This window comes from Homo sapiens, chromosome X, assembly GCF_000001405.40.
Source record: "Homo sapiens chromosome X, GRCh38.p14 Primary Assembly".
NCBI lineage: Eukaryota > Metazoa > Chordata > Mammalia > Primates > Hominidae > Homo > Homo sapiens.
Genome location: NC_000023.11, coordinates 3,610,790 through 3,633,268, shown reverse-complemented (window position 1 = coordinate 3,633,268; position 22,479 = coordinate 3,610,790). Strand labels below are relative to the sequence as shown.

Genomic DNA, 22,479 nt, shown 5'->3' with positions numbered 1-22,479 from the left:
TTTTTTTTTTTTCTTTTGAGACAGGGTCTTGTTCTGTGTCCAGATTGGAATGCAGTGGTGCAGTCATAGCTTACTGAAGCCTCGACCTCCTGGGCTCAAGCGATCCTCCTGCCTCAGCCTCCTGGGACTACAGAGGCTGTAGCTGGGGACCGCAGAGGCTGTAGCTGGGAACACAGGCACACACCAGCACGTCCAGATAATTTTTAAATTTTTTGTAGAGACGAGGTCTCACTGTGTTGTCCAGGCTGGTCTTGAACTCCTGGGCTCAAGCAGTCCTCCCGCGTTGGCCTCCCCAAATGCTGGGATGACAGGCATGAGCCACTGTGCCTAGCCTGGGCATGAATTTTTCAGGCGAAAATCTGGAGCTTGCATTCATGCTGATTAGCAGATTGTCCTTGCAAGTGTAGCTGTCACCACAGATCAATTTAACTTGCTTAATAATGCCAAATGCCATATAATGAGAATTTATTCTCCACTTGGTAAGAATTGGAAGCAGTCTGTATGTTTAGAGACAGAAATTTGAGGGTTTCAGAGGGCACTGCCCAGGCGTCCGGGGGAGTGCTGTTTCTCAGACACACACACACACTGTCTCTGCTTTTTCTTTCAGGCAAGATCATCAGTTAGTGCTCACTTATTATTTATCTTTTTCCGCTTATTAATACCTTTCCCATGATCTTATGTAATGTCTACTGTCCAAGAGCACTTCGTTTAATATTCTCCATAAATGTTTTTAGGTATGTATGGCACATTTCCTCCTGGAGTTTAATGCTCCATTCCTGTATTTGTGCATTATTCACACAGCTGAGTCGCCACCCAAACCCAGAGAGAAACAGGAATACAACTCCCCCAACTACTGTTACAGAGAACGCTGCGGGCAGGTGAGGGAGGACGGGCTCGGGAGGTTGTTAACGTCTGAGGCGGCAGGGTTGGCGCAGATCGCATGAGTGTCTGTACTCAGAGCTCTGCTTCCCAGCCTGGCCTGGGTGGTTTTTCAGTACGTTGTGGTGGCTCGTAACTCCAGGACCAGCGGCCCAAAGAGATACCCTATTGGGAAACTCACCTTCATGCTAAAGTGCAAAACAAGCAACTGAAATGTTATTTAAGAAGGAAGAAATGCTGTGTTAGGGCCACGTCGCACGCACCTAATCATTTACCTTTCTCTGGTAACTTTCATTTCCTCATGTAACCCACCCCCACTTCTCTGTCACCTCTCCCATTGATTTCCATTTTTGTACTTCATATTTCTCCTCTTTGTTTTTCTTTGAATTTTTCTCCACTGCAGTGTATTGGACAGTTCATGTGTGTAGTTCTACGTATGAATGTCCTGACGCTGCTGTTAGAAACTACCACAGACTGAAAGGTTTAAACAAGAGAACTTTATCCTCTCTTAGTCCGGGAGACCAGAAGTTTGAGATCAAAGTGTCTCAGGACTGTACTCCAGGGAAGGATCCTTTCTGCCTCTCCCAGTTCCTGGGGGCTCCAGCATCCCTGGGCTTGTGGCCACATCACTGCAGTCTCTGCCTCCACCTTCATGTGGCCTTCTCCTCTATGTCTCTGTCTCCTCTTCAGTCTCTTAGAAGGAAGGCCACCTGTCATTGGATTTAGGGCCATCCTAATCCAGGACGATCTCATCTCAAGATCCTTCAATTAATCACATCTGCAAAGACCCTATTGCTGAATAAGGTCTCATTCCAGGTCTGGGCATTAGGACGTGGACAGATCTTTCTGAGGGCCACAGTTCAATCCACTACACGTGTATCCAGTTCCCTCTGGAGGCTCTAGGGGAGGATACTCCCTGCCTCTCCCAGCTCCTGGGGGCTCCAGGCATCCCTGGGCTTGTGGCCGCATCACTGCTGTCTCTGCCTCTGTCCCCATGTGGCCTTCTCCTCTGTGTGTGTGCCTCCTCTTGAGTCTCTTATGAGGATACCTGTCATTGGATTTGGGCCTACCCTGTTCCAGGATGATCTCATCTGAAGCTCCTTAATTCTATCTGTGAAAACCCTGTTTCCCAATAAGGTCCCATTCACAGGTTGTTGGGGTAAGATCATGGATGTATCTTTTTGGGGACCTCTCATTCCGTCCACTCCACTGAATTTTGTTAAGGTCAGGAAGTGATTTGGAATCTACAGGAGAATTATTTTTGCTCATGGACATTTCTGATAATCAATGAGGGTGTCATTTGAAAGCTCCGTTTTATAAGGTATTTCCGTTGCTAGCATACCTGAATTAGAATATCTTAAGTCAAAAGAAGCTAAATGGAAAACATGACTTTGAGCCAATATGAGTATCTGTCCTGATCAATATGAGAAAATCTCAGAAGTACAACTTGTGCCACGGACATGTAAGTGTCTAGTATACACTTACTGGTTGATGAAATGGTTTGGCTTTGTGTCCCCACCCAAATCTCATGTTTAAATGTAATCCCCAGTGTTGGAGGTGGGACCTGGTGAGAGGTGGTTGGATCATGGGAGTGGTTTCTGACAGTTTAGCAACATTGCCCTAGTACAGTCTCATGATAGAGTTCTCAGGAGATCTGATGGTTTTAAAGTGTAGTACTTCCCCCTTTGCTCGCTTTCACTCATCTGCCACCATGTAAATGTGCCTTGCTTCCCCTTCGCCTTCCACCATGATTGTAAGTTTCCTGAGGCCTCCCCAGCCATGCGGAACTGTGAGTCAACTCAATCTCTTTTCTTTTCTTTTTTGTTTTTTGAGACAGAGTCTTGCTCTGTCGCCCAGGCTGGAGTGCAGTGGCGTGATCTCGGCTCACTGCAAGCTCCGCCTCCCGGGTTCACGCCATTCCGCTGCCTCAGCCTCCTGAGTGGCTGGGATTACAGGCGCCCGCCACCACGCCTGGCTAATTTTTTGTATTTTTGGTAGAGACAGGGTTTCACTGTGTTAGCCAGGATGGTCTCGATCTCCTTGACCTCGTGATCCGCCCACCTTGGCCTCCCAAAGTGTTGGGATTACAGGCATGAGCCACCGCGCCTGGCCTAAATCTTTTTTCTTTATAAATTACCCAGTCTCAGGTAGTTCTTTATAGCAGACTGAAAATGGACTAATACAGTTGACTTCTAGATGTTCTTGGATTTATCTTGGTCTTTGCAGTTTTAAGTATATATATTTTTTTAGTTTGTTTCACATATTTTGAACATTTCTAGGTATTAGTAAAGTCTGCTGGTTTCTGCAGCAGGACTGTAATCTTTTTACTACAGTCAACAAAGCATAGTATGACAATCTTGTTTTTACACATGCACCATTTTCAAGGCTGTATTTGCATGTATTTCTGTCTTTTTCCTGGTCTCCAGGGGTCAAGAAATGGTTTTCTTGGGGCAAAGAGCTTCGGTCAGCTTTGCAGACTACCCAGTCTCAGTTACAAGTACAGACTCTGCTCCTGCACCTTAAAAAGTAGTCACATAGTGAGACCGCATCCCTATAGAAAGTCAAAAAATTAGCCAGACATGGTGGCACACACCTGTGGTCCCCGCTACATGGGAGCCTGAGGTGGGAGGATGGCCTCCTGGGGGAGGTCAAGGCTACAGTGAGCTATGATTGCACCACTGCACTCCAGCCTGGGTGACAGAGTCAAACCCTGTCTCAAAACAAAAGAAAAATATGATATCTCAGGCTCTTTCATTTGGCCTGTACACATTTATTGAGCACCTGTTGTGTGCCACATACTGTTCCATGAATGAGGAATATAAAGAAATTCAGTAATGGGTGTGGTGGCTCACATCTGTAGTCCCATTACTTTGGAAGGCTGAAGTGGGAGGATCACTTGAGCCCAAGCGTTTGAGACCAGCCTGGGCAACATAGTGAGACCTTGTCTCTACCAAAAATTAAAAAAAAAAAAAAAACAAAACCCTGGCGTGGTGGTGCAGACCTGTAGCCCCAGCTGCTCAGGAGGCTGAAGTAGGAGCATAGCTTGAGCCCTGGAGGTGAAGGCTGAGTGCACTGAGCCAGGATCACGCTGCAGTACTCCAGCCTGGGGGCAACAGAGCAAGACCCTGTCTCAAAAAAAAAAAGTAGTTCACTGACATTCACTTGCAGTTTATTGAGGATGCCTTATAGTGCCGTGCAAGCAGGCTCAGTACCGGGCTGGACATAATCAGGTATTGCTCGTGCTGTAGAGTGAAGGAAGCCTCGAGAAAGGTGTCCTGTTCTTGGCCATAGTGGCGTATTCACCACTGTAAACTTTATTTTAACAATTATTTTATATTTCATTTCATTTATGTACTCCATCTCTCTCTGTCACCCAGGCTGGAGTGCAGTGGCACGATCTCAGCTCACTGCAACCTCTGCCTCTCAGGTTCAAGCAATTCTCCTGGCCCAGCCTCCTGAGTAGCTGAGATTACAAGCACCGGGGACCATGCCCAGCTAATTTTTGTATTTTTAGTAGAGACGGGTTTCACCATGTTGGCCAGGCTGGTCTGGAACTCCTGACCTAAAGTGACCTGCCTGCCTCAGCCTCTCAAAGTGTTGGGATTGCAGGCATGACCCACAGCATCCAGCCTATTTTATATTTTATTTTATTTTGAGACAAGGTCTCACTCTGTCACCCAGGCTGGAGTGTGGTGGTGTGATCACAGCTCACTGCAGCCTTGACCTCCTGTGCTCAAGCGATCCTCCCCCCTCAGCCTCCCAAGTAGCTGGGACCACACATATGCACCACCACACTCAGCTAATATATATTTTTTTAAGACTGGGTTTTGCCATATTTCCCAGGCTTATTTTATTTTTTAAATTGACACATAATAATTGTACATATTCATGGGGTAGACAGTGATGCTTTGATACAAAGAATGGAGTAATCAGATCAGGGTAATTAGCATATCCATTTCAATTATTTACCATTTCTTTGTGTTAGGAACATTCAATATCCTCTATGTATTTGAAACAATACGACATGTTATTGCTAATTATAGTCACCCTACAAGACTATAGAACACTGGAACATATTCCTCCTATCTGCTTGTAATTTTGTATCCTTTAACAAACCTCTCCCTATCTCTCACTTCTTCCCTTCCCAGCGTCTAGTATCCTCTGTTCTTCTTTATCCTTTCAGGAGATCAGCTTTTTTTTAGCTTTCATGTATGAGTAAGCACAAGTGCTGTTTAATGTTCTTTTCCTGGCTTATTTCACCTAACATAATGTCCTCCAGTTTCATCCATGTTGCTGCCAGTCAGAGGATTGTATTCCTTTTCATGGCTGAATAGTATTCTACTGTGTGTAGATACCACCTTTTCTTTACCTATCTGCTCATCTGTTGATGGACATCTACGCTGATTCCCTATCTTGGCTGTTGTGAATGGTGCTGTGGTAAACATGGGCGTGCCGATGTCTCTCCAGTATCATGACTTCCTTTCCTTTGAACAGATACCTAGTAATGTGATGGCTGGGTCATATGGGAGTTCTATTTCTAGCTTTTCTGAGGAACCTCCATACTCTTCTCTATGGTGGCTCTACTAGTTTACGTTCCCACCAACATTGCGTAAGAGTTCCCTTTTTGGCCAGGCACAGTGGCTCACGCTGGTAATCCTAGCACTTTGAGAGACCAAGCTGGGTGGATCACTTGAGCCCAGGACTTCAAGACCAGCCTAGGCAACATGGTGAAACCCCCGCTCTACAAAAAAAAATACAAAAATTAGCTGGCATGGTGGCAGATACCTGTGATCCCAGCTACTTGGAAGGCTGAGGCAGGTAGATCGCTTGAGCCTGGGAGGCAGAGGTTGCAGTGAGCTGAGATTGCACCGCTGCACTCCAGCCTGGGAGACAGAGCGAGATCCTGTCTCAAAAAAAAAAAAGAGTTCCCTTTTCTCCACATCCTCACCAGCATTTCTTATTTTTGTGTGTATGTGTCTTTTTTTTTTTTTTTTTTTAATTTTTTTTGAGACAGAGTTTCACTCTTGTTTCCCAGGCTGAAGTGCAATGGCACGATCTCGGCTCACTGCAACCTCCACCTTCCGGGTTCAAGTGATTCTCCTGCCTCAGCCTCCCAAGTAGCTGGGATTACGGACGCGTGCCACCACGCCTGGCTAATTTTTGTATTTTTAGTAGAGATGGGGTTTCACCATGTCGGCCAGACTGGTCTCAAACTCCTGACGTCAGGTTATCCACCCGCCTCGGCCTCCCAAAGTGCTGGGATTACAGTGTCTTTTTGATAATGGCCGTCTTAATTGGGTTGAGATGATTGACACCTCATTGAGGTTTTGATTTGCATTTCCCTGATGATTAGTGACGTTGAGCATTTTTTTTCATATACATGTTGGCCTTTTCCATGTCTTCTTTTGAGAAATGTCTGTGAAGACCACCTGTCCATTTTTTAATTGGAGTGCTTATCTTTTCGCTCTTGAGACATTTGAGTTCCATGCTTGGTCATGGTGGTGGATTCACCCCGGTAAACATGAGAGAGCATTGCTGTCCAGTGTTTAGTGCACAGTTAAGGAATGGGCTGGTGGCCCCTCAATAAGATGCCCAAAAAGGAGTTGCCTTCTGCTCAGCAGACGCCTCTCAAATGGTCTTTATATTCTCTCCAAGGGAGCTTCCCCTGCATCGGACTGTGGCACACGATGCCTTGCCTCTTAGAACCATCTGACTGTCACGTGCTTTCAGATCGTGACAACTTCAGTGTGCGGGGAAGAGCATGTGAAATAAATTACCTTCTGCCTGTGTGAAGCAGAAATAGCTATCGTTACAAAGCAGGGATTTTTTTCCATGCTTACTCCCCACTAAAAATACATGTTTGTTTTTCTAACAGGTTTCCTCCGTTTTTTGATGACAACCCGTTTGGCATTTATCAGAAAATTCTTGCAGGCAAAATAGATTTCCCCAGACATTTGGATTTCCATGTAAAGTAAGTAAACCGTTTGCCTCATCATGAGGTGTGTTTATTTTTAAAGTGTCTAAAATCACCGTGAAAGCACGCACTCAGCAGGATACCATATTGTGTTATTAAATGTGCTGCGCATAAACTATTTTGGACAGTTGTCTTTTCCACAAGAAAAGAAAAAGATTTTCAGTATTCTACTTTAATGATAGCTTCACATTTTAATGAGTCTTGGCCGTATTGTGTTCTTTTGGTGGTATGTTATATTTAAAATGAGCCAATGAACGAGTTTGTCATCGTATTTTATAAGAGAGCAGTTTTGGAATTTGACAAGAAGGATCCTCCTAGTTCTGTGGCTAACAGAACTGTTGATGGGTTTAGCAGAGTTTTATCCTTTCTCTCCTGCTTAAATTATGCTCAACCTCTAAGTCCTTTTTAACGTCAACATTTTCAGTTCTGAGCATGTTGCTTCAAGGATATTTACAGTTGCTGGATATTGGCAACTTTGGATGCACATTTTATAAAGGTCGTGGCAGTAGGGAAAAAATATATTATTTTCTTAAATATAAGAACGCGGCTGGGCGTGGTGGCTCATGCCTGTAATCCCAGCACTTTGGGAGGTTGAGGTGGGTGGAACACGAGGTCAGGAGATCGAGACCATCCTGGGAAACACGGTGAAACCTCGGCTCTACTGAAAATATAAAAAATTAGCTGGGTGTGGTGGTGGGCGCCTGTAGTCTCAGCTACTTGGGAGGCTGAGACAGCGGAATCGCTTGAACCCAGGAGGCGGAGGTTGCAGTGAGCTGAGATCGCACCACTACATTCCAGCCTGGGCGACAGAGCAAGATTCTGTCTCAAAAAAAAAAGAATGCTTTTGGTTTTCTGGCTACCTTACCCAATCTGGTCAACTGGTAGCCATTTTTACTGTAATAAGCACTGATTTCTGTTTGTTTCACTGTATTTTTCAGATGAGTTGATGGGTGCACCAGCCCCCTGGGCACAAACTAGAGCTAAATGCATCTAGTTGAGAATTAAACTTTTCTTTTCCATGGTCTATTTTCTTATGAGCCGGTGGAAGTTCAGTTCAGAGAAGACTTATTTCAGGGCGATGGAGCAGGTTGTTTTGAATATGCCCCTTATGGGGCCACTGGCTACGTTCAGTTGAGTTTCTTGGTGGTGAACGCACCCCATCCTAACCAGAGGTTCTTAGTCTGAACAGAAGATAAGGTCGTGTTTTATTGGCTTGAGCATGTGTTGTGTTTGACACACTAAGAGGCAGGCTTTAAAAGACTTTAGCAAGAAAACGAGGCTCCGCTTAACAATGAGTCGCCTAGAAGGGACACCCTGTCCAGTGAATGGTAAGACAGGGAGGTGTCAGGGGAAACAGCACCTCAGAAGCCGACTGCTCTGGAAGGAAATAGAAAGGATTATATAGAACCTCTCTCTCAGGCCCCAAATCCCATCTGAGTTGAGTGACATTATATTAAGTGGATGGCAAAGCACTTTTATGATCGAGTTTGGCCAGGTGAGGTGCTCATGCCTGTAATCCCAGCACTTCAGGAGCAATCCGAAGTGGGAGGATTGCTTGGGGCCAATCCAATAGTTTGAGGCCAGCCTGGACAATGTAGCAAGACCCCATGTCTACAAAAAATTTAAAAATTAGCTGGGCATGGTAGCAAGTGCCTGTAGTCCCAGCTACTAGGGAGGCTGAGATGGGAGGACTGCTTGAGCCCAGGAAGTCGAGGCTGCAGTGACCTATGATTGCACCACTGCACTCCAGACTGGATGAAAGAGTGAAACTCTGTGTCAAGAAAAGAAAAAATAATAAAATTAAAAGATATAATTATATATATATATGGGGGGGGTTTCCAATGTTCTGTGGAAACAACAACAAAAAAAGGAATTGCAGAAATAGAATAAACCAGAAGCGTAATCAAAGTCTGGTCTCTTGCCACTTGTCCTTCTTTCTCTCCTAGTTTATCTTCTTTGAGAGTAGGGAACCAGCAGCGACCATCTTGGTACTGTCTGATCTAACATGCCTCTCTTTATGCAGCTCCCAGCCCCTTCCAGTGTTCCCCACAGTGCCCCTGTTTCTTTACATACCCAGTGTGGGTTCCCCAAGAGCAGAAACAGTGATAGATAGAAGTGAACTGACAGTTCACTTCTTCCCATTATTTGTTAAATCTTATCAAATTGGCTGAGAAGCAAGACCTCAATGACTCATATCTTTCCTTTTTTTGGTAGAGATGGGTATGGGGATCTTGCTGCATTGCCTAGGCTGCTTTTGAACTCCTGGGCTCAACTGATCCTCCTGCCTTGTCCTCCCCAAGTGTTGGGATTACAGGCGTGAACCACTGCACCTGGCCTTAATGAGGCATTTTTCTTATCCAAATCACTGTCCCTGGTTGTCCATGATGCTAGAATTTTGATTCTCTGCTTTTTAAAGTCATATGTTGGTTCCTGCAACTTTTATCATTTGACCAGGTAAACATGTCGCCTGGGCAAATGGCACATCAGGATTGACATTCCTTATAGAAATAAATATCATTTAAAACAAAACACCAAAACAAAGCTTTGGGACTTGTTGCCAATTCAGTAGAGGTATTATCTGCCGGTGTTTTTTACAACACCTGAAAGTACCTGCATCTGAGAGGAGCCAGCTGGTGCCAGGATCGTAAATAAAATGTAGAATTTTGGCTACAGTGCATCAAAAGAGTGCCGGCAGATGTGTCGCTTATCCCGGGGTCAAGGGACCCATCTACAGCTGTGGACACTTCTGTCGTTCCTTTATAGGGCTTTGCATCTTCAGGGGCCTCTTCTCATCCATACTCTTTACTTTCTAGACTGCTTTATAAGAGTTTGCTTTGGTATTTTACTTTTTCTTTTAAAGAGACGGGTGTCTTGCTCTGTCACCCCGGCTGGAGTGCAGTGGCACAATCATAGCTCACTGCAGCCTCGACGTCCTGGGCTCAAATGACACTCCCACCTCAGCCTCCCGAGTAACTGGTGCTACAGGCATGCACCACCATGCCTGGCCAATGTTTTGATATTTTGTAGAAACGAGGGTCTTACTATGTTGCCCATGCTGGTTTCGAACTCTTGGTCTCACGTGGTCTTCCCACTTCAGCCCACTGCATAGCTGGGATTACAAGCCACTGTCCCCTGTATTTTAAATAAATCTTCATTTTCTTACATGCCAAACACCAAAAAAATTTAAAAAAAAATTCAAGGTCATCAAACATTTTGTTTTCTTACATGACACACACACACACACACACACACACACACACACACGTTGAAATTTATCAGGTGATCACCAAAACATTCTGAAATAAACATAGGGCTTTTTTTCCCCCCTATAATTTACACCACTGCCTGCCCCATTAGCGTATACACTTAAAGCTGATTGGACTGGGATTATAAGAAAACAAAGGTTTATCTAAAATATAAAAGCATAAATAAACCTGTCTTATAATTGCACTCCAGTGAGCTTTAAGTGTGTGTGGTAAGGGGGCAGGCAGTGGTGTAAATCACGTGGGGGACGAAGCCCCACATTTATTTGGGAATGTTTTGGGGGTATAGTGTTTGATAACCTTGATTTTTTTTTGGCAGGGGGGAGCATGTCAAAATAATGAAGGAGAAACTCACTAAGTAGTGGAAAGGTTTCTAACTTTTAGGTGATTTTTATATTCCCCATCCTGCTCAAAGCTTTTCAGCCTTACAGGATGGATACAAAATCCTAGCCTTAGGTGGGCGGACAGATGGTCTCTGAGTTTTACTTTGTGGCAGAGAAGCGGTGAAGTCTGACAAGCATCCCATCCTAATTCAGAAAGCATGGTGGCAGGAAACTGTAAAATTTCCGATCAGACAGCACTGGCGAGATTCACAATCTAGATGGTGGAGTCTGACCCTAGGACGTCACCTGGCTTGTCGGAGACTCCACAGTCTGTCACAGAACCTGGGAGTGGCTCAGTCCAAGTTCGTGCTACTTACCTTGGGGCATAGTTTATGCTGGGAAAGCCTAGACGCTTACACCGGGGTCATGGGTATTGGATTGTTTTGGGGGACTTCAATATATTATATTATTATATCATATTATGTATGTTATTATACATAATGTACTCTGTGTATTTTATGTGTACACACAGACACACATGATCATTTCTACTTCCATAAATATGCATCTTTTAGAACTCACCTAATCTCCTGGAAGTCTTCAACATCATCTCCAACTACCCATCCTAATTGAAGCAGCTTGCTGTTTTTTGTTGTCGTTGTTGTTGTTTGTTTTTGTTTTTTTTTGAGACTGACTCTACCTCTGTCACCCAGACTGGAGTGCAGTGGCTCAGTCTCAGCTCACTGCAACCTTCGCCTCCTGGGTTCAAGCGGTTCTTGTGCCTCAGCCTCCCAAGTAGCTGGGACCACAGTTGTGTGCCAGCATGCCCAGCGAATTTCTTTTTCTTTTTTTTTGTAGAGATGGGGTTTCACCATGTTGGCCAGGCTGGTCTCAAACTCCTCACGTCAAGTGATCCACCCGCCTCGGCCTCCCCACAGTGCTGGGATTACTGGTGTGAGCCAGTATGCCCAACCTCCCCACCTGCTGTACTTCTGACATGGTCTGTTATTTAAAAGGAAGATTATAAGTGAAGAAGCAGACTTAGGAGACTCATCCTAATGTGTGTGCTTATGGGAAAGCCAGCCTTTTAAAACAGGAATCCCATCAATAAGCAGACCCCCAGGACAGCGCGTGAGTGTTGATGTTGGTGAAAGCAGATGTCTTCTATTTTGCAGGGACAGCCTGACAGGCATGTTTACGTTAAGTGTCTGGATCCTCCCTGCAGGCACATATAAATTTCACCCTTTTCTACTCAGAGGTGTATTTTCTTTACAAAGATGTAATCAACCCCCTTCCCTTAGCTTCAGCCTTGCACGGGGCAACCCAGCCTTGCATAGGTGATTTAAGAGCCGGTGATGGTAGGAAATAAGCACTAGAAAGTGTTTTGCCAAAGTGGAAATTGAACTGCGGTCCTCATGTCAGATAGATCTTATCTCTGTTGCCATGCTGCGTTTGCTGATGTTGATATATAATCTGTGTACTTTTTTTTTTTTTGTCTCCTTCCCCAACATAGAGACCTCATTAAGAAACTGCTCGTGGTTGACAGAACAAGGCGATTAGGAAACATGAAGGTCAGTATTTGATCCCGTGGGTATTCAGTGGTACCCGATGTGCGTGTCTGCCGTCTAACACCCACATTGGCATGTGCAGGTATAAACCAAGGCTTAGCGGTCGTATTTAATCACTGCCCAAATTTCAAATCTGGTGTTTTATTTATTTTTTTAAATTTTACTTGAAACTGCCAGGAAAGATCTATCAAATCTCGGTTTCTGGGCCCACAACGTCAAACTGGGTCTACACCGTATCTCCCCTCCCCTCAAGCAAGGTTAATAGAGCAATAACAATGCATAAGTTATTACTCATTATTTTGTTTACTTATTTATTTTATTTTTTAAACAGTTTTACGGAGAGTGAATTCACACGCCATGCCATTTACCCATCTAAAATGTGCAATTCGGTGGCTTTTAGTATACACACGATTATGTACAGCCACCCCTGTGGTTAATCTTAGAACATCTTCATCAGTTCAAAAAAAGAAACCCTGCACCCTTCAGTTATCACTGTGCTATTCTTTCATCCTCTCTTGCCCTAAGCCAGCGGTCCCCGACCTTTTTGGCACCAGGGGCCAGTTTTGTGGAAGACAGTTTTTCCACAGACCGCACAACCTAAATCCCTTAGTTGCGCAGTTCACAATAGGGTGTGTGCTCCTATGAGAATCTAATGCCACTGCTGATCTGACAGGAGGCGGAGCTCAGGTGCTAATGCCAGCCATGGGGAGCAGCTGTCAGTACAGGTGAAGCTTCGCTCACCTGCCTGCTGCTCACCTCCTGGTGTGCGGCCCATTTTGGTTCCTCATAGGCCGTGGACCACTACCAGTTTGTGGCCCAGGGGCTGGGGACCCCTACCCTAAGCAGCCACTAATCTACTGACTTTCTCTGTAGGGTTCGGTGTTCTGGGCTCTGCTAAAAATGGAATTGTACAAAATGTAAGCTTTTGCCTCTGGCTTCTTTCTCTGAGCACGATGTCTTCAAGGTTCATCCAGGCTGTAGCCCGTGTCAGAGCTTCCTTCCTTTTCCTGACTGCATAGTATTCGATTGTGTGGGCAGACCTCGTTTTGTTTATCCATTCATCTATGGATGGACATCTGGGCTGTTTCCACCTTTTGGCTTTTGTGAATGGTTCTGCCATGGACATGAGAGTAGGTGTTTTGTGTGCGCAGGTGATGATTTTAAAAGTTGTGCATCAGGTATGATTTCCACAAACTTTTTGTGTGGAGGCAAGTATATAATTGACAAACAGACTATTCCTTAAGTAGTATCATACCTGATATGCGTGTTTTGACATCCCTGAATTTGACAGAATTCATGGACTTTTTGTTGGCCATTTCTAGCTCTGGACAACCTCAGAGGGACTTATACATGGAGGAACTTCCATATACGTCTTGACCCTGTAAATTACAGTCTGGAGAGACACAGTACACCGGGGTGTGAGGCTTGAACCACTTGGCTCTCTTGGGGCCCTCTGTGTGGTTTACGAGTCTCCAGTAGCTGCCATAAGAACTGACCACAAACTAGGGGCTTAAACAACAGGAATTTCTGCTTTCCCCATCCTGGAGACGAGGAGTCTGAGATCAAGGTGTCTCAGGCCTCCAGAGGCTCTAGGGGAGGATCATTCCTGCCTCTCCCAGCCCCTGGGGGCTCCGGGCATCCCTGGGCTTATGGCCGCATCACTCCAGTCTCTGTCTTTCTTCACGTGGCCTTCTCTGTGTCTGTGTCTCCTCTTCTGTCTCTCAGAAGGATGCCTGTCATTGGGTTTAGGGTCATCCTAATGCAGGATTATCTCTTCTCAAGAGCCTTCCCTTAATTACATTTACAAAGACCCTATTTGCATGTAGGGTTCCATTCCCAGGTACTGGGAGTCAGGACATGGGCATATATTTTGAGGGCCACTGCCCAATGTGTGATAATTGTGTCTGCTTCCTGCTAGAGGCTCTAGTGGGGGATCCTTCCTGCCTCTCCCAGCTCCTGGGGGCTCCAGGCATCCCTAGGCTTGTGGCCACACCACTGCAGTCTCCACCTCCATTTTCACATGGCCTTCTCTATGTTTGTGTCTCCTCCTCTGTCTCTTATGAGGACACCTGTCACTGGATTTAGGGCCCACCCTTCTCCAGGATGATGTCATCTCAAGAACCTTAATTTAGTTACATCTGCAAAGACCCTATTTCCAAATAAAGTGATATTCACAGGCACTGGGGGATAGGATGTGCACATATCTTTTTGAGGGACATTGTTTACCCTATAACAGTAGTCAAGCTTCTGTCCTTTACATTATTTGCGGACAGCAACGGATACCTTCAGGTCTCCGAGGAGCCTATCCAGCCAGGTTGCACGGTGTGGACTCATCTGTGCCACGGCTCTTCATAAGATTGGACGAGTCCTGTTTTAATGCCACAGCCATTTAGAAAAGAGCTGGGTCTCTTGCTGGGACTGCAGGGAATCACAGACGACCCATATCTAGAATCTGCTGGGAATGGCGTAGTGACCATCATAGGTACCTTCCAAGGGGGAAGAACAAGTTTCCCAATCAAAGGAATTGGGGAAAAGCTCACAAACTCCCAAGCTAGGTCTTAAAGTCTAGTTAAAGCTTCCTGATATGGAGATAAACTGAAAGAGACTCAAGAAAACACTGACTTTATTTTATTTTTTTTTTAAATTAACACATGAAAATGGTATTATTTAGCATGTACAACATGAAGTTTTGAAATATGTACCCATTGTGGAATGGGTCCATTGAGTTCATTAACATATGCCTTACCTCACATAATTACCATTTATTTGTGGTGAGAACACTTAAGATCTAAGAAAAAAATTGTTTTTAAGAGTTGGGGTCTTGATGTGTTGCCCAGGCTGGTCTCGAGCTCCTGAGCTCAAGTGATCCGCCCACCTTGGCCTCACAAAGTGCTAGGATTACAGGCAAGAGCCACTGCACCCAGCAAGATCTACTCTTCCAGAGATTCTTGAGAATACATCATTAGTTATAGTCACCGAGCTGTGCAAGCCACTGACTGAACTTGTTCCTCCTGTCTCTCTCACTTTGTCTCTTTTGACCAATGACTTCCCATCTCAGCCCCTTCCCAGCCCCTGGTATCCACCATTCTACTCTCTGCTTCTATGAGTTCAACTTTTTTAGATTTCCCATGTAAGTGAGGTCAGACTGTATTTGTCTATCTGTGCCTGGCTTATTTCTCTCTCTCTCTCTCTCTTTTTTTTTTTTTTTTTTGAGACACAGCAAGGCGGAGGTTGCAGTGAGCCAAGATGGCGCCATGCCCTCCAGCCTGGATGATGGAGTGAAACTCTGTCCATTGCCCCGCCCCCCCAAAAAGAACATAGAGTATAGTAAATAGATAAACCAGGGACATAGTCATTTATTATCATTACCAAGTATTAGGTGCCGTAGGTAACGTATGTGTTAGACTGTTACACGCCTGGCAGCGTAACAGGAGGGATGCATTGTCCTGTGGTTACAATGGCCATGGCGTCACTAGGGGATAGGAGTTTTTAAGATCATTATAATCTTACAGGAGCAACACTGTATATGTCATCCATTGTTGACTGAAGCATCATTTTGAGGCTCATGACTGTAGATACACACCCACACACACACTTTTTTTATTTTTATTTTTTCAAGACAGGATCTTGCTCTGTCATCCAGGCTGGAGTGCAGTGGTGCGATCACAGCTCACTGCAGCCTTGACCTCCTGGCGTCAAGTGATCCTCCCACCTCCGCCTCCCGAGTAGCTGGGACTCAGTGCATGCACCACCAAGGCTGGCTAATTTTTTATGTTTTTTTGTAGAGACCAGGTCTTACTTTGTTGCCCAGGTTAGTCTCAAACTCCTGGGTTCAAGCAGTCCTCCTGCCTCGGCCTCCCAAAGTGCTGGAATATAAACGTGAGCCACTGCTCCCACCCCCCTCACACACACTTTATATAACACACACACACTAGTTTGGATACTAATGTGAATCTCGGTATATACATATACTTTGTACTCTACATATAAAGTGTGTAAAGTACATATGTATATGTGTATATATATATATAATACATGTGTATATATTAACGTGTATGTATATAAGTATGTGTATATTTAATGTGTATATATTAACGTGTATGTATATAAGTATGTGTATATATAAATATATGTGTGTATATATTAACGTGTATATGTGTATAAGTATGTATATATTAACGTGTGTATGTCTATAAGTATGTGTATATATTAATGTGTGTATGTGTATAAGTATGTATATATCAATCTATGTGTGTATATATGTATGTGTGTGTGTATATATTACTATGTATGCATGTGAGTATATACAGACACACACATCCTTTAGTATCCAAATTAGAATTTTATCTGATGGATAAAATTTATTTTATTCTCTTATTCACAGCACTCTTATTTATTCTTATTCACAACATTGCTGAAGGGAAAACTCAACAGCTATTGTTTGTTGCCTGACTTAGCTATAGATCAAAAATACCTGTTTTGCAATAAGAAAAGAAAAAGTTGTCAAAACAACTGGATGGGAAAACAATAGAAAAAATTCACATTACTGTTTCCTTTTGAAGATATGGTTGTGGACGTATTCCTCTTTAAGGATAAGAAATTTGAAACTACAGTAATGCTAACTGATAGACGCGTTAAATTCAGATGTACTGGCTTCTGTTTCATGGAACCTACGTTTATTTCTTCTGCTGTCCCACATTTAATTGATAACGACATCACTACAAGTATAAGAAAAGGAAGCAGAGTGAGGTTTACGGATGAGCACTTGGGAGGGATTTCAGAGGTCGTGATGGCCACAGTGTGAGCCAGCGATGCCTGGTGCTACCCTTGAGCATGAAGCAGGCCGACTTGAACGCACCTTGTTAATTGCCAGGCCGTGCAATGTCGTTCCTAAGGTCTCTTAAACTGGACATCCTTGGTTTGAGTTCCCAGTCTTGTTATTTACTTGCTGGGTCCTACGGAGCAAATTAACATCATTCCTTGAACCCTAGTTTCTATGTCTGTAAAATACTGAGTAAGTTTGCCAAGATGAAAACAGGAGACAAACTGAGAAACTACTGGCTGTCCAATTTTATGTCGAGAGATGGAATCGTATTTACCTTTTTCGTCTTTGGTCCGGAATGCAAATGCATTGCACAGGAGCAGAATGACTGGATTTGTTTCTGCGGCAAAAAAGGGCAAACAAAACACTAACAGCTTTGCTTGCAGGTTTTCCTGGCAGCTCACCCTCCAGGCACAGTTCTCCAAAATGCAGCAAACTTGGTCTGTTTGTTTCAATACTAAAATAATGTAGAGATTCTTTGGGGTATTTTTCTTTCCTGCCCTGTCAAAATTCTGTACACTGACGACATGTGTTGTTTCTTTTGAAGAACGGGGCGAATGATGTGAAGCATCATCGGTGGTTCCGCTCCGTGGACTGGGAAGCTGTTCCGCAGAGAAAACTGAAGGTACAACACATATCAGTGGGTGACTCAGTATGCCCGAGCTCTTCCATTAGCAGGGACTGCCTCTGAATCCTGGGACTTCTTTATTGATGGCTGACATGTGATTAATTTATATAATACAACTATTTGTCTAAAACTGTTCATAAGCCAAGTTCCCCACTCTTTGAGTGTCTTAGTGCTAACCATCTACCTAGCTCCCACAAAGGCAGGAGCCACCACACCCAGTCATATACCACATGTTCTTTGTCCATTCATCCCTGGATGGACACTTATCCCAGATTTTGAAGCAGATTTTAGGAGACCTGGCCTGATTCCTGACTAGCTCTGTGACTGCTAAACCCTACTCCCTCCTCTTTAGTGGAAAGCGGTCAACAGGATTACAGAGATAAGCAAGCGTCTAGCACCATGGTCATCGTTCAGTGATGGTGGTGTATTACATGGAGAATATTCTTTGGAACGTTTCTGGCCAAACTGCCTATTTTTAAACATCTGGCTTTTTGGCTGGGTGCTGTGGCTCACGCCTATAATTCCAGTACTTTGAGAGGCCAACTCAGGCAGATCACTGGAACCCACGAGTTTGAGACTAGCCTGGGCAATATGGTGAAATCCCGCCTCTACAGAAAATACCAAAATTAGCCAGGCGTGGTGGCATATGCTTGTGGTACCAGCTACTTGGGAGGCTGAGGCACAAGAATTGCTTGATACCAGGAGGCGGAGGTTGCAGTGAGCCAAGATTATGCCACTGCACTCCAGCCTGGGCGACAGAGCCAGACCCTGTCTCAAAAAAAAAAAAAAAAAAAAAAAAATCTGGCATTTTTTTCAATGTATAATACTTGTCCATTTTATAAATGAGGAGACTGTGCTCAGAGAAGTTAAGCAATGTGTGGAAGGTTACACAGCTGCTAAGCAGTGTAACTATCACAGGTACATATTTATGGGGGTACATGTTATATTTTGACACACGCATAGAATGTGTAATGATCAACTGAGGGTAACCAGGGTATCCATCAGCTCAAACATTTATCATTTTTATGGGTTGGGAATATTGCAAATCTAGCTATTCTGAAATATACAATATATTGTTAACTCTGCCCACCCAACTATGCTGTCAAACACTGGAACTTATTCCTTTTATCTAACATTATGTTTATGCAATATTTCTTCATCTCCCCTTCATCCCCTAGCTATACACACTTCCCACCCTCTGGTAACTATCATTCTACTCTCAACCTTCATGACATCCATTTTTTTAGCTCCCACATATGAGTGGGAACACGCTGTGTTTCTCATTCTGCGTCTGGCTTAGTTTATTATTTATTATTTATTTTTTGAGACAGCGTCTTGCTCTGTTGCCCAGGCTGGAGTGCAGTGGCACGATCTTGCTCACTGCAGCCTCCACCTCCTGGCTTCAAGCAGTTCTCATGCCTCAGCCCCCTGAGTAGCTGGGATTACAGACGCCCAGCTAATTTTTGTATTTTTACTAGAGACGGGGTTTCACCATGTTGGCCAGGCTGGTCTCAATCTCCTAACCTCAAGTGATCCACCAGCCTCAGTCTCCCAAAGAAGTGCTGGGATTACAGGCATGAGCCGCTGCACCCGGCCTGGCTTAGTTTACTTAACATGATGGTCTCCCATTCCATTCGTGGTGCTATAAATGACAGGATTTCATTCCATTTTATGGCCGGATAGTTTTTCATTGTGTGTATGGACCACACTTTCTTTATCCTTTCATCCATTGGTGGACACTTAGGTTGATTCCATATCTTGGCTTTTGTGAACACTCTGAACTGCATATGTTACTGATGGGAGTGGTCAATGGTAGTGTTTTCACCTTTGCACTTCAGAGTTAAAAGAATGGAGAATGCTTAGAAATGCTTATTCCTAGTCCTCAGCTCAGACCAGAGTTTCTGGGGCTGGAGCCTGGGATGATACGCTTCTTTTTTTTTTTTTTTTTTTTTTTTTTGAGATGGAGTCTCACTTTGTCGCTCAGGCTCGGGGTGTAGTGCAGTGGAGTGATCTCAACTCACTGCAACCTCCACCTCTTGGATTCAAGTGATTCTTCTGCCTCAGCCTCCCAAGTAGCTGGGATTACAGGTGTGCGCCACCACATCCAGCTAATTTTTTTGTGTGTTTTTAGAAGAGATGGGGTTTCACTATGTTGGCCAGGCTGGTTTCGAACTCATGACCTCAAATGATCCACTCTCCTCGGCCTCCCAAAGTGCTGGGATTACAGGTGTCAGCCACTGGGCCTGGGCTGATGCATCATTTTGTTCAAAGTTTTACCTTTTCAAATACTTTATTGTATTAAATTGCATTAAAAAAACAATTTGAATACGTTTTATCTATCCACATTGGTCAAAAACCAAGTCAATATTAAAACAGATATATTGCCAAGTCTCCCTCTTACCCCCTCCAAGCCACCTGTAGGTAATCACCTTTTATTGTTTTTCTGTGTATCCTTCTAGAGTTTCTTTGTGCTAATAAAAACCCACATGGATACATGCATTCTTATTTTTGCCACTCATTTATACAAATCTAGAGTAGCGTAGTATGTACATTATTATAGTCTTGCTTTTTGCACTTGACTATATAATCTGGAGACCTGTCTACATACCTGGCTAGCTTCCTCATTTTTTTTTTTTTTTTTTTTTTTTTTTTTTTTTTTTTGAGACGAAGTCTTGCTCCGTTGCCCAGGCTGGAGTTCAGTGGTGCGATCTCGGCTCACTGCAACCTCCGCCTCCCAGGTTCAAGCGATTCTCCTGCCTCAGCCTCCCAAGTAGCTGGGATTACAGGCACCCACCACTATGCCCGGCTAATTTTTGTCTTTTCGGTAGAGACAGGGTTTCTCCATGGGCCAGGCTGTTCTCGAACTCCTGACCTCAGATGATCCTCCCACCTTGGCCTCCCAAAGTGCTGGGATTACAGGCATGAGCCACTGCGCCTAGCCAGCTTCCTCATTTTAAAAAATACTGCATTGTATTCCATCACATGACTGTACCATAGCTTACTTAATACTATATATATATATTTTGAGACAGGATCTCACTCAGTCATTCAGGCTGGAATGCAGTGGTGCAATCATGGCTCACTTGGAGTATCGACCTCCTGGGCTCAAGCAGTTCTCCCACCTCAGCCTACTGAGTAGCTGAGACTGCAGGCACACAGCACCACACCCGGCTAGTTGTATTTTTTGTAGAGACAGGGGACTCCCTGTGTTCCCCAGGCTGGTCTCAAACTTCTGAGGCTCAAGCAACCCTCCCGCCTCACCTTCTTAAAGTGTTGGGATTACAGGTGTGAGTCCCCACACGCAGCCTCATTCACAATATTTTAATTCAAAGATTGCCGCTTTCATAAATGAAGGGAAGACAGCTTTAGTGTTTTGCAAATCATTTTCATTTTTAGGTACAGTGACAGAAATAAAGCGGTGTGTGCAGCATCCAAGTGTCCCGTCCCTTTCTAACCATGCCTTTGTGCTTCGGCCATGTCTCACAGCCTCCCATCGTGCCCAAGATAGCTGGTGACGGCGACACTTCCAACTTCGAAACTTACCCTGAGAATGACTGGGACACAGCCGCGCCCGTGCCGCAGAAGGATTTAGAAATCTTCAAGAATTTCTGAGGACAGGAGCTCACATCTGGAAGGTATATCTTTATATTTAGTAATTCCCAAAAAATGAGACTGACTCGACCCCACATCCAGGTGAGGCTGCGTTTACTGAGTGGGGCTTAACCTCATGCACACAGAGGTCAGCAGTGAAGCAGAGCAAAGGGGATTGATTGCAAGGGTCAGCGAAATAAACACAGCCATGCCTGTGACTCCAGGTCAGCATGTGACCGTCAGAGGCATCAGCATGACAGTCCAGAATCCATGTTCTGCATCAGAACCTGCATGTCTAAATAAGACCGCTAGGTGGTTTGTGTGTGCCTGAATATTTGAGAAGCCCAGCTCCTCTGGTCCCTGTTCCAGAAACCCTGAGTGACAGGCGAGCTTCCTTAGAATAATTAACAAGTATTTTCAAAAGTCTCTTTAGGTCTCCTTTGGTTAAAAAATAAGAAGAAGAAATATGCCCTCATAGGAAATTTGCTAAGCTTAATTGAAGATGACTGGAAAAGGATTTTGAGTCTATTACTTCTTTGAGCCTTTGAAGGTCTATTATTAGTTTTTAAATAATAATAATATTTTTTAGAATCCCTCATGAAATTTGCTAAGCTTTAATTTAAGATGACTGAAAAAGGGTTTTGACTGTGTTATTTCCTTGAGCCTTTGAAAATCTATTATTAGTTTTTAAGTATGGATTAAAAAGAGCTTTCAGTTACTCCTCAATTCTAAATTGCTCGGTTATATGGCTTCAATTAGATCTTTCTTCCTGTAACACACGAGCAAGAAACATACCAGTGAAGCAAAATATTGTCAGTGATGTGTCTATTCATTGACATAGCTTGTTTTTCCCATTTTGATTTCCATTCCCGTAATTTTCCTGTAGTCTTCCCAGTTATGTGAAGTGGAAAGCCAATTGGCTAACCAACACCATTCGAAACAGACACCAAATGTCACAATTGCTGACTGGGGAGAGGAACCAACCTGCTGAAAGACGTGGTGAATGAGAGCCCTCCATCCTGGGCAGGTGTTTACATGGATGTACCAAGAGGAAAGCTGGATACAAATTGAAATAATAGACAACAAAATGATAGAGGAATAGGTGGCTATGACCTCGAGAAGATAACCTGTCTCCATGGCATGGCTTCACCTCTCAGTGTGTGATGAACGCTTTCACAGTGGTGACTGGTTTGTATTAACATGAGAGCGTGTAACTTTACCAACTTCATAAACGCTCATGAAATCCAGTTGCGGGTTTTAAAAATCATAAGATGTTCCTGAATGTGTTTACTTCTTTTTGTTTCTCTGCTCTACTCTGGGGCTTACATTTTAGCTGACTCGCCCATAACATCTTACAAATTGTGTCTCTCCAGGAAATCTTTAAAATGATGTAAAGACTTGGTTTGCTTTAGTATGAAGGACCCCTAGTTG

General features: G+C 44.1%; 1 protein-coding gene across 1 annotated transcript in view; it reads left to right on the top strand.

Moving 5' to 3' along the window:
- The window catches only part of PRKX (protein kinase cAMP-dependent X-linked catalytic subunit), a 109,310-nt gene that overhangs the window by 80,381 nt on the left and 6,450 nt on the right, over positions 1-22,479 (top strand). Inside the window, exons 5-8 of the mRNA NM_005044.5 lie at positions 6,755-6,850; positions 11,953-12,010; positions 17,377-17,454; positions 20,944-21,092. Of these exons, the coding sequence (NP_005035.1) occupies positions 6,755-6,850; positions 11,953-12,010; positions 17,377-17,454; positions 20,944-21,069 (358 nt within the window). The 3' untranslated portion in view covers positions 21,070-21,092. The remainder of the gene's footprint in view (positions 1-6,754; positions 6,851-11,952; positions 12,011-17,376; positions 17,455-20,943; positions 21,093-22,479) is intronic.